The following is a 13,719-nucleotide window of genomic DNA, read 5'->3' as shown; positions in this document are numbered from 1 at the left end:
CTCTTCACCCAGGGACACTGAGTGCCTGTTCCTCTTAGCGTCACATAACTCGGGATGTTTGGGAACCGCAGCCCCTCCGGCTGAAGTGTCCACCTGTGCTGACTGATTCTGGCACTTGAAGCATTGCCGGGCACGCTTTCTCTGGCTGCTGCAGGTGCTCCAGCTTTGTCCTCCCTCTCGGGGCCGCCAGGACCCAGGGGAAGGCTCTGGAGTGAGTCATTCCCCCCAGGGTTCTCCCATTCTGCTGCCTCGGGGCCCCGGCACTGGGTGTGGACCGCCCGGGCATAGCATGACCCTGAGTGAGATGAGGAGACTCTGCAGCAGCTGACCACCGGAGGCGGCTGCAGACCACACGCCGCAACTACACAACCCATCTTTGTTTCTAGCATAGTCCACACCTGCCTTAGTCCACCTGGGCTGCCGCAACAAATGACCCTAAACTGGGTGGCTCAACAGCAAGCATTGATTGATCAGTGCTCTGAAGGCTGGACGCGAAGGAGCCGGCAGATTCAGTGTCTGTGAAGGTCACTCCCTGGTTGTAGCCTGCTGTCCCTTCATCGTATCCTCACATGGCAGACAGCAGAGAGAAAAAGGCAAGCTCTCATGTGTCTATTTATAAAGGCCCTAATGCTGTTCATGGGTGCTCCGCCCTCATGAATTACTCCCAAAGGCCCACCTCCTAACACCAGCACCTTGGAGGTTAGGATTTCCGGATATGAGTTTTAGGGGACACAGACACTCAGGCCATAACACACGTCTGCACTGCTCAGGCTCACACGTGCTTGGGGAGCAGCTCCTCCAGGATTCTCACGGGCCTCTCTTCCAGAGGGAAAACTTACATGAGAAGGGCTATGGGAGAGCTGCAGCCCCTCCACTGCTGTGGGCCTTGGGGCTGCAGGTGATGTTCCTCTTGCCCTCCCTCCACCATCCAAACTAGGTTCCTGTCACTCTCAGTGGCCACCGCGACTGCCCTCAGTGGCCAGGGCATGGTCTGGAGCCTCCCTTCCAAGGGACCTGAGCTCCTGTCCAGCCTTCCTCTTCCCAGGTCCAGGCTGTCTTCCCTATCCATTCACAGTCATAATTGTCCAGAGATCACCAAGGGGCCCCCACGTTGGTCACCTGGTATCCAAGAGTACCTCTCCCTGCCCATGTTGTGCAGCATCAGACCGGCCACCTCCTGACGATCAGGGTCTGTCACCCCTGCCAACACAGGGACTCCACATCTTGTCTGCTGGTCCCTGGACACAATGACCCACCCTCCCAGGGAGCAGCAGTAGCTCATAATTTACTGAAAATCTTGCTGTGTCCCCAGGAGAAAACACGCTGTCTTGAAGACCAGGACCTCTAAACCTGCAGAGCCCAGCAGGAAAGGGAAGCACGTCCTCCGTGAGTGATAGAATCAGGGTAAGTGGAGCCACTTTGTTTCCAGCCATCTGTTCCCATATCAGTGTCTTCTCCTCCAGGAACAGGGTGCCATAGGAAGGTCTGATTCCACACACATGCTGCAACCTGGAGGGTGTCATCCAGTCATCACAGGGCATGGGCTCTAAGCTGGCATCTCTGGTATACTTGTAGAAGGTGATTTTGACCGTCTATCAAGTGTGAGATACAACCAGTGGCCCCTGGGCTCTAAAGTGGACCCATGGAACTGACACGCCTTAAGGAGACCTCAGGCCTGTAGACCGAATACCTCATGAGTCCACAGACAGTGGAGCTCCCCTGCTGAGAGGAAACCTGATCCCATGTGTGAAATAGTGTCTATTCCTGTAAGAACAAACCACTGGCCCTTTGTAATGACATGGGGCCACCAATTTGTGATATCTGAGTCATACGACTTGACAGAAGTCCCCTTTGCCCCAGCGAGGTCTTCCTGCTTGCTTTTCCAATGTACCTCCCTTCTTAACTGACACCCCAGCTATCCTAGGTGTGCTGGGGTGAGAAGTGCCCCTTAGGGAAGGCTGTGATAAATTTACAAAACAAGTTCATTTTTAGTGATACCTGTAGGGGTCCCTTAGGATTCAAATTCAGCCAACAGGGTAATAACTCACAGGAAATGTACCTCTCCCTAGTTAGCACATAAATGCTTTGGTTTCTCCAGTCCTTCTATCCTCCGATTTTTTTCGCCACCATCAACCTCTGGCTGGGGAAGCCCCTTCTCCTCTGGGAGTCCCCATTGGACTGAGTATTGATGGACTTTGGTCTCTTGCTGTTGACGTTTCTTGTATCATTCATGCAGCCACCCAATAAATTCCCAGGTGGGGGATCAGGAAGAGCTTTAGGGAGGTTTCTCTAGGTTGATGGAAATGCCCTTTGAGGGTAGCGGGGGCCTAGTATAATCACTTTGCAGCCGTTAGTGATTGATTTTCTCCAGGAATGGTGCCACACTGGGGTTCGCCATCCATCTCTGTCACAGGCTGAGGACGTTGGACACTGGCGGTGGATCCAGCGCTGGTAGGCAGAGGCCATTCAGTGGGGCCTTTGCAGTACCCTCATCTCTGCCTGTGAGGTCCTTTCACTGATGTGCCCATTGCCACTGGGTGGTTGATGACAGAGGCTGGCTGACATCAACTGGCCACCATTTTGTCTAGTTGCTGACTTAGTGTCTCTTCCATGGTAGCTACTCTCTATGGGCCTTCATACACAGTGCAGAGCGAGCCCACTTCTTGTCCACTCCAGTATGTCCATGTACGTGCCTCTATCCCTTTTACCCTATATATTCTTGTCCCTGATCTTCTAATATTTTTTCTTTCCAGGCCCAAGGTCAACAGGATAGGCCACTTTCCATGGCTCCTGATCACACATGTATGTACGTGTACCTATATAGACACTAAAGCCAGGCCTCTTCTCTTTCCACACAGCATGAGTCACGGGGCCATCACCTGAAGCTCCCTCATGGTGAAGCTGTCCCTTGCCACTGCCTTCCAAGGCATCGTGCAGCTGCCATCCATTTTGTGCACACACCGTATATCAAACCAACCTGCCCGTGAAGCAAAGGTATGTCATTTTGCTCCTTCACCTACTTATACAAGATTCCACCACCAAGCTGTAAGCCTGCACTGAGGGAGGGGCACTGAAGCCACAGAGGCGTGCACATGGTGGTCTTTGCTTGTATCCTACTTGTTATTTGCTGCTTACTGCTGCTGCTCAGTCCTGAATGTTAATCCAAAATACATTATTAGAAATGTAAAATCTAAAACTATAACACTTTTCAAAGAAAATAGAAAAGCATTGCACCTTAGGATAATAACAATTTCTTAGCTAGGGCATAAGAGGCAGAAACCATAAAAGAATTAATAAATTAAGCCTCCTCAAAACTTAAAAACTATTAGTATTAGCAAGACACTTAAGAGAAAGAAAAGACAATTCACAGACTGTGAGAAAATGTGTGCAATATGTATATCTGAAATAGGAGTTATATCTAGAATATGGAATGAACTTTTATGGGTGAACTATTTGAACAGCCCTTCACAAGAAAAGGCTTACAAATAGTAGTAACATAAAATGATGTTCAGCATTATTTGTAACCAAAGAAACTCAAATTAGTGCCATGATGAAATACCACCACACAACCACTAGCGTGGCTGTAATCCAAAGCCTGACCTGACAAACATCTGTGAGGAGGTGAGGCAGCTGGAACCCAGCCACTGCTGATGGTGCTGCAAAATGGAGCACTACTTTGGAGAACTGTCCCACAGTGTTTAAACATGCACATATAATAGTATTGCATAATTCTATTCTCAGGTCTTCACCTATGAGAATAAAATATTTCCACACACACACTTGAGCCCCAATGTTCAGAACATCTTTAATGTAACACTGCATGAAAGGATGAATGCATTTTAGTACATCCATATGGGGTAATATTATTCAGCAATGAAAAGGGATGAGCCACTGATAACTGCACCAACATGGACAAATCCCAGAATCATCATGTTGCATGAAAGTAATGGTTCACAAATGGTCACGGTTCCATTTCTCTAACCCAGGGTGGCAGGAAGGAGGCTAGTCTTCATGGGGTTGGGATGGTGGCACCTGGCACTGAGGCAGAACAGGGAACTCTGGGATAATGAAAATATTTTTTCTATGGACCTTGAGGGTGGTTACACAGATGTACACATTGGCAAAGCCCATCAAACCATATGATTTAAGTGGGTGCATTGGCCCGATGCAGTGGTTCATGCCTGTAATCTCAGCACTTTGGGATGCCAAGGCTGACAGATCACGAGGTCAGGAGTTTGAGACCAGCCTAACCAACATGGTGAAACCCCATCTCTACTAAAAATACAAAAATTAGCTGGGTGTGGTGGCACTCACTGTAATCCCAGCTACTCAGGAGGCTGAGGCAGGAGAATCACTTGAACCTAGGAGGTAGAGGTTGCAGTGAGCCAAGATTGTGCCACTGCACTCCAGCCTGGGTGACAGAGCAAGACTCTGTTTCAAAAATAATAATAATAATAAATGGGTGCATTATATTTTACATTAATTATCCTTCAACAAAACTGATTTTAAGACTTAAGGAAGAATCTAAACTTTAATACTGTCTGCATGACAACAGGTACTGTAACAAAATTTATATAGCAAATGATCACAGAGGAAGTCTGAAGTAGCAAAATATGTACTAGGGTATTAAAGTTCAGGCTAGTGGTTGTGAATTTATAATATACTTATTTCCATTTTTATGGTGTTTATATTAAAACAGTTTCACAAGAGAAATGTATTCTGTAAAGCTGCAGGGTTGCAGAACACGGTTTAAAAGCCCTAGACTAATTAATTCAGCCCTTGGCTCCTCCTCCAGCTCACCTTGCTAATTTTTCTCTCTCCATTCAAATATCAGATTGCATTTCTGGGTCTATTAAAATTGCTTTGCTACTGAATACTTAGTGGGATGCAAAATATGTGACTTGCTTATTACAACTCACTGTGTGCCTTTAATTTTTCCTTGTCATGCCTTCCTAAATGTTTCATTGCTATATTTTGCAAAACTGAGAGGGGATAATGCACACAGCAACTCTCCAGGAAAAATGTATGTGATGTCTACTGCTTGCCTATCTAAGTTGCTATTGAGATTCTAGTCCGTAGGTGGTGAGTTGAAATTCTTAATATCAACATCAACTCCAAAGGAGATCTGAGAAGCTTGGCTCCTGAGTTCAGAAAGTCTCTTGGTTAGGACAGATAGCTGGCGACAGAGATTCTTGCTTTTCCTTGGAACTGCTGCTCAAAGCAGGTTGGCCTGAGGTACTTTAGAATACATGGATGGGGGAAGAGGCTGCCAAGATGCTCTTAAAACAGCTGTTAGCATGCACCCCAGCACTGCAGTCCTTCATGCCACCCAGGGCAGCAAGCCTGCCTCGTGTCCAACCTCTGTCTCCCGCTCTCCTTCTTGGGTCAGCTGTGGAGGGAGAATCTCCTCATGGACGTGGCTGGAGGAGCCTCCTCTTCTCTCCTGTGAGCCACATATCCCAAGGATTTCTCACTAACTGTTGCTCCTCATCCTACTCTTGTTTTAGGGGATGCTGCACACCATTTAATCTTATTAATCTAGCTTAGATCCCTGAAACCTGGCTGGAATATTTAAACAGTACTTTACTAACAGCTCAGAGTGAGCAAAAGAAAAATAGGTGCCGCGAATGACGTGACTCGCAAGCTAGAGTCTTAATTCTTTCCCCATGTTTCCTCCTGAAACATCTCTCTGCACAGTTGTTGATTCTTTGGAATTTTCTACATAGCCAATCATGTCATCTGTGAGCAAATGCAGTTTCGTTTCTTCCTTCCCAATCTGTATACCTTTTACTTCCTTTTTTGTTTTATTGCATTAGGTAAGACTCACTGCACAATGTTGAATTAACTCATGAGAGGCGACATCCTTCTCTTATTCCTGATCATAGGTGTAAAGCACTTGGATTCTCACCAGTAAGTACAGTATTAGCTTAGATTTTTATAAAATATTCTATATATTCAGAGATATTTTTATAAAATATTCCATTTTCCTCCATTCCTAGTTTGCTGAGAGTTTGCATCATGAATAAGTGTGTTGGATTTTGTCAAATACTTTTTCTGCCTCTACTGATATGATGGTATGGCGTTTCTTCTTTTGCCTGTTGATACAGGGATTACATTGATTGATCTTTAAATGTTGAACCAGACTTGCATGCCTAAAATGAATCCCATTTGATCCTAGTGTATAATTTTTAATACATTGTTGGATTCAATTTGCCAATATTTTGTTAAGGATTTTGCATGGATGTGTCTATAGTTGTCATTCCTAATAATGTGTTTGTCTGGTTTTGATATTTGGAAAATGTTGGGCTCATAGAATGACTTAGAAAGTATTCCCTCTGCTTATATTTCTGGACAAGATTGTAGAGAACTAGAACAATTTCTTCCTTAAATCATTGCGGAATTCACTAGGAAAATCATCTGGGTCTGATGCTTTCTGTTTGGGAAAGATATTAATTATTGACTCAATTTCTTTAATAGATATAGGCCTATTCCGATGATCAGTTTTCCTTTGGGAGTTCTGATAGATTGTGTGTTTCAAGGAATTGGTCCATTTCATCTAGGTTATCAAATTTGTGGGCATACAGCTTTTCATAATATTCCTTTATTATTTCTTTAATGTTCATGGGACCAGTAGTGATAGCCTCTTTCATTTCTGATATTCACAATTTGTGTCTTCTTTTTTTTCTTAGTTACTCTGACTAGCTATTTATTATTTCAATTGATATTTTCAGCAAACCACTGTTTGGTTTTATTTATTTTCTCTAGTGCATTCTTGTTTTCTGTTTTATTTCTTCTCTAATTTTTATCATTTATTTTCTTAACATCCTTTAGGCTTATATTGCTCTTTTTTTCTCTAGATTCCTAAAAAGGATGCTTAGATTATTAATTTTAGGCCTTTCTTCCTTTCTATTATATGCATTTAATGTTATAAATTTCCCTCTAAGCACTGCTTTTACTGCATCCCACAAATTTTGATGTTTTATTTTTATTTTCGTTCAGTTCAAAGTTTTTTAACGTTGATTTGTGTGCCATTTTGAACTGTGGTGCTTAATGTTCAATTAGTTTGGCATTTTCCAGTTACCTTTCTGTTATTCGTTTCTGCATTAATTTTATGGTGTTCTCACAACATATGCTGTGTGATATCTGTTTTTAAAATTTGTTAAGGTGTGTTTTCCATGAAGAATGTTACTCTGCTCTCATTGAAGAAAGTACCCTATAATGATCGACTAGATCTCGTTTGTTGACACAGATATTCAATTCAGTTACATCCTTACTGATTTTCTGCCTGTTGGATCTGTCAATTATTATTATTATTTATTTTATTTTTATTTTTATTTTATTTTTTTGAGGTGGAGTCTTGCTCTGTCCTGCCCAGGCTGGAGTGCAGTGGCACAATCTTGGCTCACTGCCACCTCCACCTCCTGGGTTCAAGCGATTCTCCTGCCTCAGCCTCCCAAGTACCTGAGACTACGGGTGCCCACAACCACACCCAGCTAATTTTTTGTATTTTTAGTAGAGATGGGGTTTCACCATATTGGCCAGACTGGTCTCGAACTCCCGACCTCAGGTGATCCACCCGTCTTGGCCTCCCAAAGTGCTGGGATTACAGGCTTGAGCCACTGCACCCGGCCAGGATTTGTCAATTATTGATAGAAGGATGTTGAAGTTTCTAATCATAATAGTGACTATGCCTATATTTCTTTGCAGCTCTATCTGTTTCTGTCTCACCTCTTTTAATGCTCTGCTGTTAGTCACACACACACACACGTTAAGGACAATCAAGTTTTCTTGGAGAGCCGGTCTCCTTACCCTTTATTGCCCTTCTTTATCCCTGATAAGGTCTCTTATTCTATTATCAGTTTTGTCCAAAATTAATATAATTACTTAAGTTTTCTAAAATTTCTACTGTCATGGAATATCTTTCGCCATCCTTTTACTTTTAATCTGTCTGTACTTTAATATTGAAGTTGGGTTTCTTACAGACTACATGTAGCTGAGTCTTATTTTTTCATCTACCTTGTCAGCCTCTGTCTTTTAATTGTCATTTTGGATTATTCACATTTAAAGTGATAATTGTTATAGTCAGATTAATATCTACCACATTATAACTGTTTTCTTTTGTTTCTCTTTTGTGTTTCTTTTTTATCTTTCCATCTTTTCTGCCTCCTGTCATTTTAATTGAGCATTCTATGATTCCATTTTCTCTCATCTTTTAGCATACCATTATACTTCTTTTTAAATATCTTTAATGATCACCCTATCACTTGCAATATACATTTACAACTAATTTAAGTACATTTACAAGTATTTCCTGAATTTGAATGTTGGCCTGCCTTGCTAGGTTGGGGAAGTTCTCCTGGATAATATCCTGCAGAGTGTTTTCCAACTTGGTTCCATTCTCCCTGTCACTTTCAGGTACACCAATCAGACGTAGATTTGGTCTTTTCACATAGTCCCATATTTCTTGGAGGTTGTGTTTGTTTCTTTTTACTCTTTTTTCTCTAAACTTCTCTTCTCGCTTCATTTCATTCATTTGATCTTCCATCACTGATACCCTTTCTTCCAGTTGATTGAATCAGCTACTAAAGCTTGTGCATTCATCACGTAGTTCTCATGCCATGGTTTTCAGCTCCATCAGGTCCTTTAAGGACTTCTCTGCATTGGTTATTCTAGTTAGCCATTTGTCTAATCTTTTTTCAAGGTTCTTAACTTCTTTGCCATGGGTTCAAACTTTCTCCTTTAGCTCGGGGAAGTTTGATCGTCTGAAGCCTTCTTCTCTCAACTCATCAAAGTCATTCTCCGTCCAGCTTTGTTCCACTACTGGTGAGGAGCTGCATTCCTTTGGAGGAGGAGAGGTGCTCTTATTTTTAGAATTTTGAGTTTTTCTGCTCTGTTTTTCCCCATCTTTGTGGTTTTATCCACCTTTGGTCTTTGATGATGGTGACGTACTGATGGGGTTTTGGTGTGGATGTCCTTTCTGTTTATTAATTTTCCTTCTAACAGTCAGGACCCTCAGCTGCAGGTCTGTTGGAGTTAGCTGGAGGTCCACTCCAGACCCTGTTTGCCTGGGTATCAGCAGCGGAGGCTGCAGAACAGCGAATATTGCTGAACAGCAAATGTTGCTGCCTGATTGTTCCTCTGGAAGTTTTGTCTCAGAGGGTTGCCCAGCCATGTGAGGTGTCAGTCCGCCCCTACTGGGGGGTGCCTCCCAGTTAGGCTACTCGGCGGTCAGGGACCCACTTGAGGAGGCAGTCTGTCCGTTCTCAGATCTCAAGCTGCGTACTGGGAGAACCACTGCTGTCTTCCAAGCTGTCAGACAGGGACGTTTAAGTCTGCAGAGACTCAATCTTTGTATACAATTCAATGATAAATAGGTGAAGAACCCCATAGAACCCAATGGAAAATGGCCAGGAAATGTAAACAAACAATAAACAAAAAAAATCACAAGAATACTAATAAGCAAATAAACTCATGCTCAGCATCATCGTCTATCCCAGTAATGCAAATTAAAACCACAGTGAGATGCCAATTCCAACTGATTAGAAAAACTCTGACAATACCAAGCACTGTTAAAAATGTGAAGTAACTAGAGCTTCATACATGGATGAAGGAGCATAAAGTGAAACATTCACTTTGTTAAACTCCTTGACAGTTTCTTATAAACTCCAGCATACCTATGACCAAACAATTCTCCTCCTGGCTTTTTACCAAAGAAAATTTAAAACATGTGTTTACAAAAGGAATTGTGGGAAAAGATTACAGTAGCCTTATTCATAACAGCAGAACACTGAAAACACCCGAAATATTCATCTACTGACAAATGAATAATCAAATTGTGGTACAGTCACGTAACACACTATGACTCAGCGATAAAAAAGAATAAACTACTAATACACAGAACGACATGATCGAACGTCAAAACATTCTGAGTAAAATAAGCCAGACACAAAAGAGTGCATTCTCTATGATTCCACTCATGAAGTTGAAGAACAACCAAACTTATTCTATGGTGATAGAATTCAGAATACTGGTTCTTGTTGGGAGGCGAACGGTTCTATAAGGCAGTACAAACAAACGTGCTGCAGTGATGGAAATAATCTGTACCACATTTTTGCAGTAGTTTTATGAATAAATACAATCATCAAAATTCATCTAAATAAACAGTTAAGATAAATCATGACCTTAACAAATGAACAGTTGGTGTTAAATCAGAAACATCGTCTAGTGTTGGCCGCTAAGCCCTTTCTGACCAGGGTGAAACGGGACGCTCTAGAGGGTTCCCGGCTGCACAGCTACGCTGTCTCGTTTTCTGATGCTGCCTGAGATACTGTTTGCTGACAGGGGCTGGAAGTGATCTCAATCACTCTCTCATGCTCCTTCAGATGCAATCAGTTATCATTTCACAAAATAATGAATCTGCCAGAGCGGAGAATCCCAGATGAATGTCTTGACAGAATCAACCTCTTGAATTTTGCTTCTAACCTTTTCTTCCCCTTGAAGTATTTCAGACTCCGCAGCTCTCCTCGTTAGGCTGAAACAGAGCTGTGGCCCAGGAGTAGAAATGAGGGAGGAGCATGGCAGTGAGGAGGATGGAGAGGAAGGGAGAGGAGGGGAGACACGGGAGGAGAGGGGGAAAGCGAGAAAGAATGAAGAGGAAACGGAAAAGGGGGCAGGCAGAGGAGACTAACAAGGAAGAGAAGAGAGAAAGTTGACATACATTGCATGACTTGAAGCAGATAAATTACAGCAACATCTGACATTGGGAAGCTCTCAAGCTATATATGTGTGTAGGTATATACATATATACATAGGTAGCAACATGTATATATGTATATATGGTGAAATATATATATATATATATATATATATATATATATATATATATATGTCACAAGAACTTAATGAATTTGTTAATTACCTACAAACACACAGAGAAATTTAGGGCATAGGCTGGAGAACACTAAATCTAGTTATTTATTTCTGATAAAAAGAAACATCTCAGACCTTGGTGCAAATTAGTATTTTCAAACGAGGTTTCTGTACCAGGCAGTGTCATGAATTAGATTATAACAGAGACGTCTCATGTCCCCAGTGTGAGTGTGATGGGCAGCTTCCCCATGCTATAAACACCACCTCCTTGTTTTACAGCAAGGCAGCTCCTACCAGGATTATACATTTCTCTGAGACCCATTATCAACATTTTTATTTGAGGCACATTTTATATGTTTTTACTGCTCCCAGAGTCTAGAATACCTATTTGTCTACACAGAAGCTTTGTTCTGGCATCAGGGAGCATCTGTTTCATGTTAGTTCCTTAGAATTTCATTTCTTGCAGATATAAGTTTATTACGAACAGGGAGACTGTCTTCTTGCCCATTTTAGTTTTCAACTGATTTTTGGAATGTTTTATAAAAGACGTATTTGCCCAAAAGAATTTATTACTGACCTTTTTTGAAACATTTCATGATGCAAAATAACCTATGCCGCAGCAGTATTATGCGCTCTCCCTTTCCCATCTCTCAGTGCCTGGGAAGGTGACATGACTGACGGCAGCTGCACATGCCTGAGCCACGCTGTGTTGTCTCCAGTTATACTCCAGCCCCAAGCCCTAGAGTTAGCACTTCTGAGGGTGCCTGGACAAACTTGTCTTGAAGAAGGAACCGCTCTTCTTGGCCTTACACAGCCTCGTGTGGACTCAGGCAGCTGTCGTCCTGGCTCTTGGAAAACTCAGAAGAGAAAACCAAAGGACAAGCTATGGAAGGGATTTGGGGGAAAATGAAGTTCAGGTTCCAGGGAGATGACTTTCCCTGTTCCCATCAAAGATGATTTCAGGCATAACCACCCTCCACAAGGAACCTCTCCTCCGTGCCACCCCTGGCCACAGAGAGGGGATCTGGGTGTGCTGGGTACATGCACAGTGAGCAGAAAGATGGGCATTGTAGGTCCAGCTGCTTTCCTCTCTCCTCACCTGCTTACTGGCACTGAATACCTGAGGGGGTAAATGGCTTCAGGGCTTTCAGGTAGCTCTGCTGAACAGATCCTCTCAATTCCTCAGGCCTATTCTCTCTCCACTTCTCCCCACGAGACATTGAGGTCCTCATCAGAATGTTCCCTCTTAATGAGTGCACAGTGCCAGCTGATCTTGTTTTTCAGGGCAGAGCTCCTGGGAGGAAGGCTTTTGGAAGTTGGTTCTCAGAGGCCTGATTTACTGTATCTAAGACTGGTTCTTGGGCAGCTGGACAGGTCCAAGATAAAAAGAGAATTGGTCAATTTCAGGGCCATGTTGGCAATAACCAAAATGGAGCAGTCTACTGCAGCAATTTTCCAGGGGTCATGCCGTGAGGCCCAGAGTTCCTCGGTTTTGCACCACCACCTTCTAAATGAGCATCTCTCTGGGCACAGCGACTTGGAAAGAACCTGAGAAGATGAGGAGTTTGCCGTCTCCCCTTCCCTCAGCACCCTCAGCCTTCCCATCCTGCCCAACACTGTGGGAAGCTCACCCTCTCAGTGAAAAGGTCATCTCTTTCCACAAACAAAACAGAAACTATTTCCCTGGAGAATGTGTATCAGGACTTTTACTGAGTTTCAGTCTAGTATCCACATTTAGAATGGTCATTTTTACCAAAGAGAACTCTGCCTGGGACCCCTGACTTCTGATGTTTATCACCAAAGCCAAATGAAATAATAACCTAATAAGAAACCGCTAGAACTGGTCGCTGAAATGCTCATAAGCTCATCGCCCTGCTCAGTCTGCTTCACAGGTCGGAGCACTGGGTCTCCTTGGCTCACTGTGTTTTAACCTGTCAGCTTGAAGACATAGTCCTCCGAACTGAGTCAATTGGTTGGAGTTAGATAAGGAGCCAAGGAGGCAGTATCAAGCCAATTGCAACCTTGACAATTGTGGCTAGAGGTTAAGAGAGAGTCACAGAAAGGGAGAAGTTATAAATAGATCTGGAACCTTTGTATGGGGGTAACGTATGAGATATGCTGTGAGTTTAAAATGCACATGGAAAATGGCCTTAGAATATAGGAAGATCCCTAATGGAATTGTGGTAAGAATCTGAGGACAGGAGAAATATGGTTACTTGTGGAGCTTGTACTCGTAGATGACGCCATACTTTGCCCACTTGATAATGCTGCTTATGAGGCTTGAATAAGATAATATATATTTTGAAAGTAATTTTAAACTAGAAAGCACTTGGAAAATATTGGTAGTGATAACGTGTGATATTATAAGTACTAATCCAACCAAAAATTCATATGGAAACTCCCAAACTGTTTTCAAGTGCATCATAAAACTAAGGGAAATAGAAGACATTAGGTTTAATTGCTTCCATTTTGCTCCAAGGTATACAGGAAAAAATACGTGGAAATTTATGATAATAGTGGAATTAAAACCTGGGCCAATTGTCTTCTGAAGTAGTATAGTACCTATTATACCATATTATCCCCATGCAAAGAAATTAGATCCAAATACTGGAGCAGCCCTGCAAGAAAGACCTATTCAAAGGGGCTGCCTCTATAGAACAGAAGTCATATCTGTGGGAAGCAGGCTGGCAGTCTCACCATAAGATTTTATGAACAAAGAGAGTCCTGCATTCATGGCCAGAGATGCAGGTTTGCCTTCTCACTCTGGCGCTCTGTCTTATGCTATTTGTTGGCTAACACAAGTTGCATAACCAATTCTATTTTCTCTCATTTGCCCACTGTGGCACCTGG

At 42.9% G+C, this 13,719-nt stretch overlaps 1 annotated feature.

Annotated features, from left to right (window-relative positions):
- Positions 218–722: an enhancer, noted in NCBI's record as "H3K4me1 hESC enhancer chr11:134571176-134571680 (GRCh37/hg19 assembly coordinates)". NCBI's record gives its function as "activates a minimal SCP1, AML or CMV promoter by ChIP-STARR-seq in naive H9 embryonic stem cells {active_cell/tissue: H9 hESC(naive)}" and the evidence as "EXISTENCE:reporter gene assay evidence [ECO:0000049][PMID:30033119]".

Source organism: Homo sapiens, chromosome 11, assembly GCF_000001405.40.
Source record: "Homo sapiens chromosome 11, GRCh38.p14 Primary Assembly".
In the NCBI taxonomy this organism is placed as follows: domain Eukaryota; kingdom Metazoa; phylum Chordata; class Mammalia; order Primates; family Hominidae; genus Homo; species Homo sapiens.
This window is presented reverse-complemented; position numbering and strand designations above follow the sequence as displayed.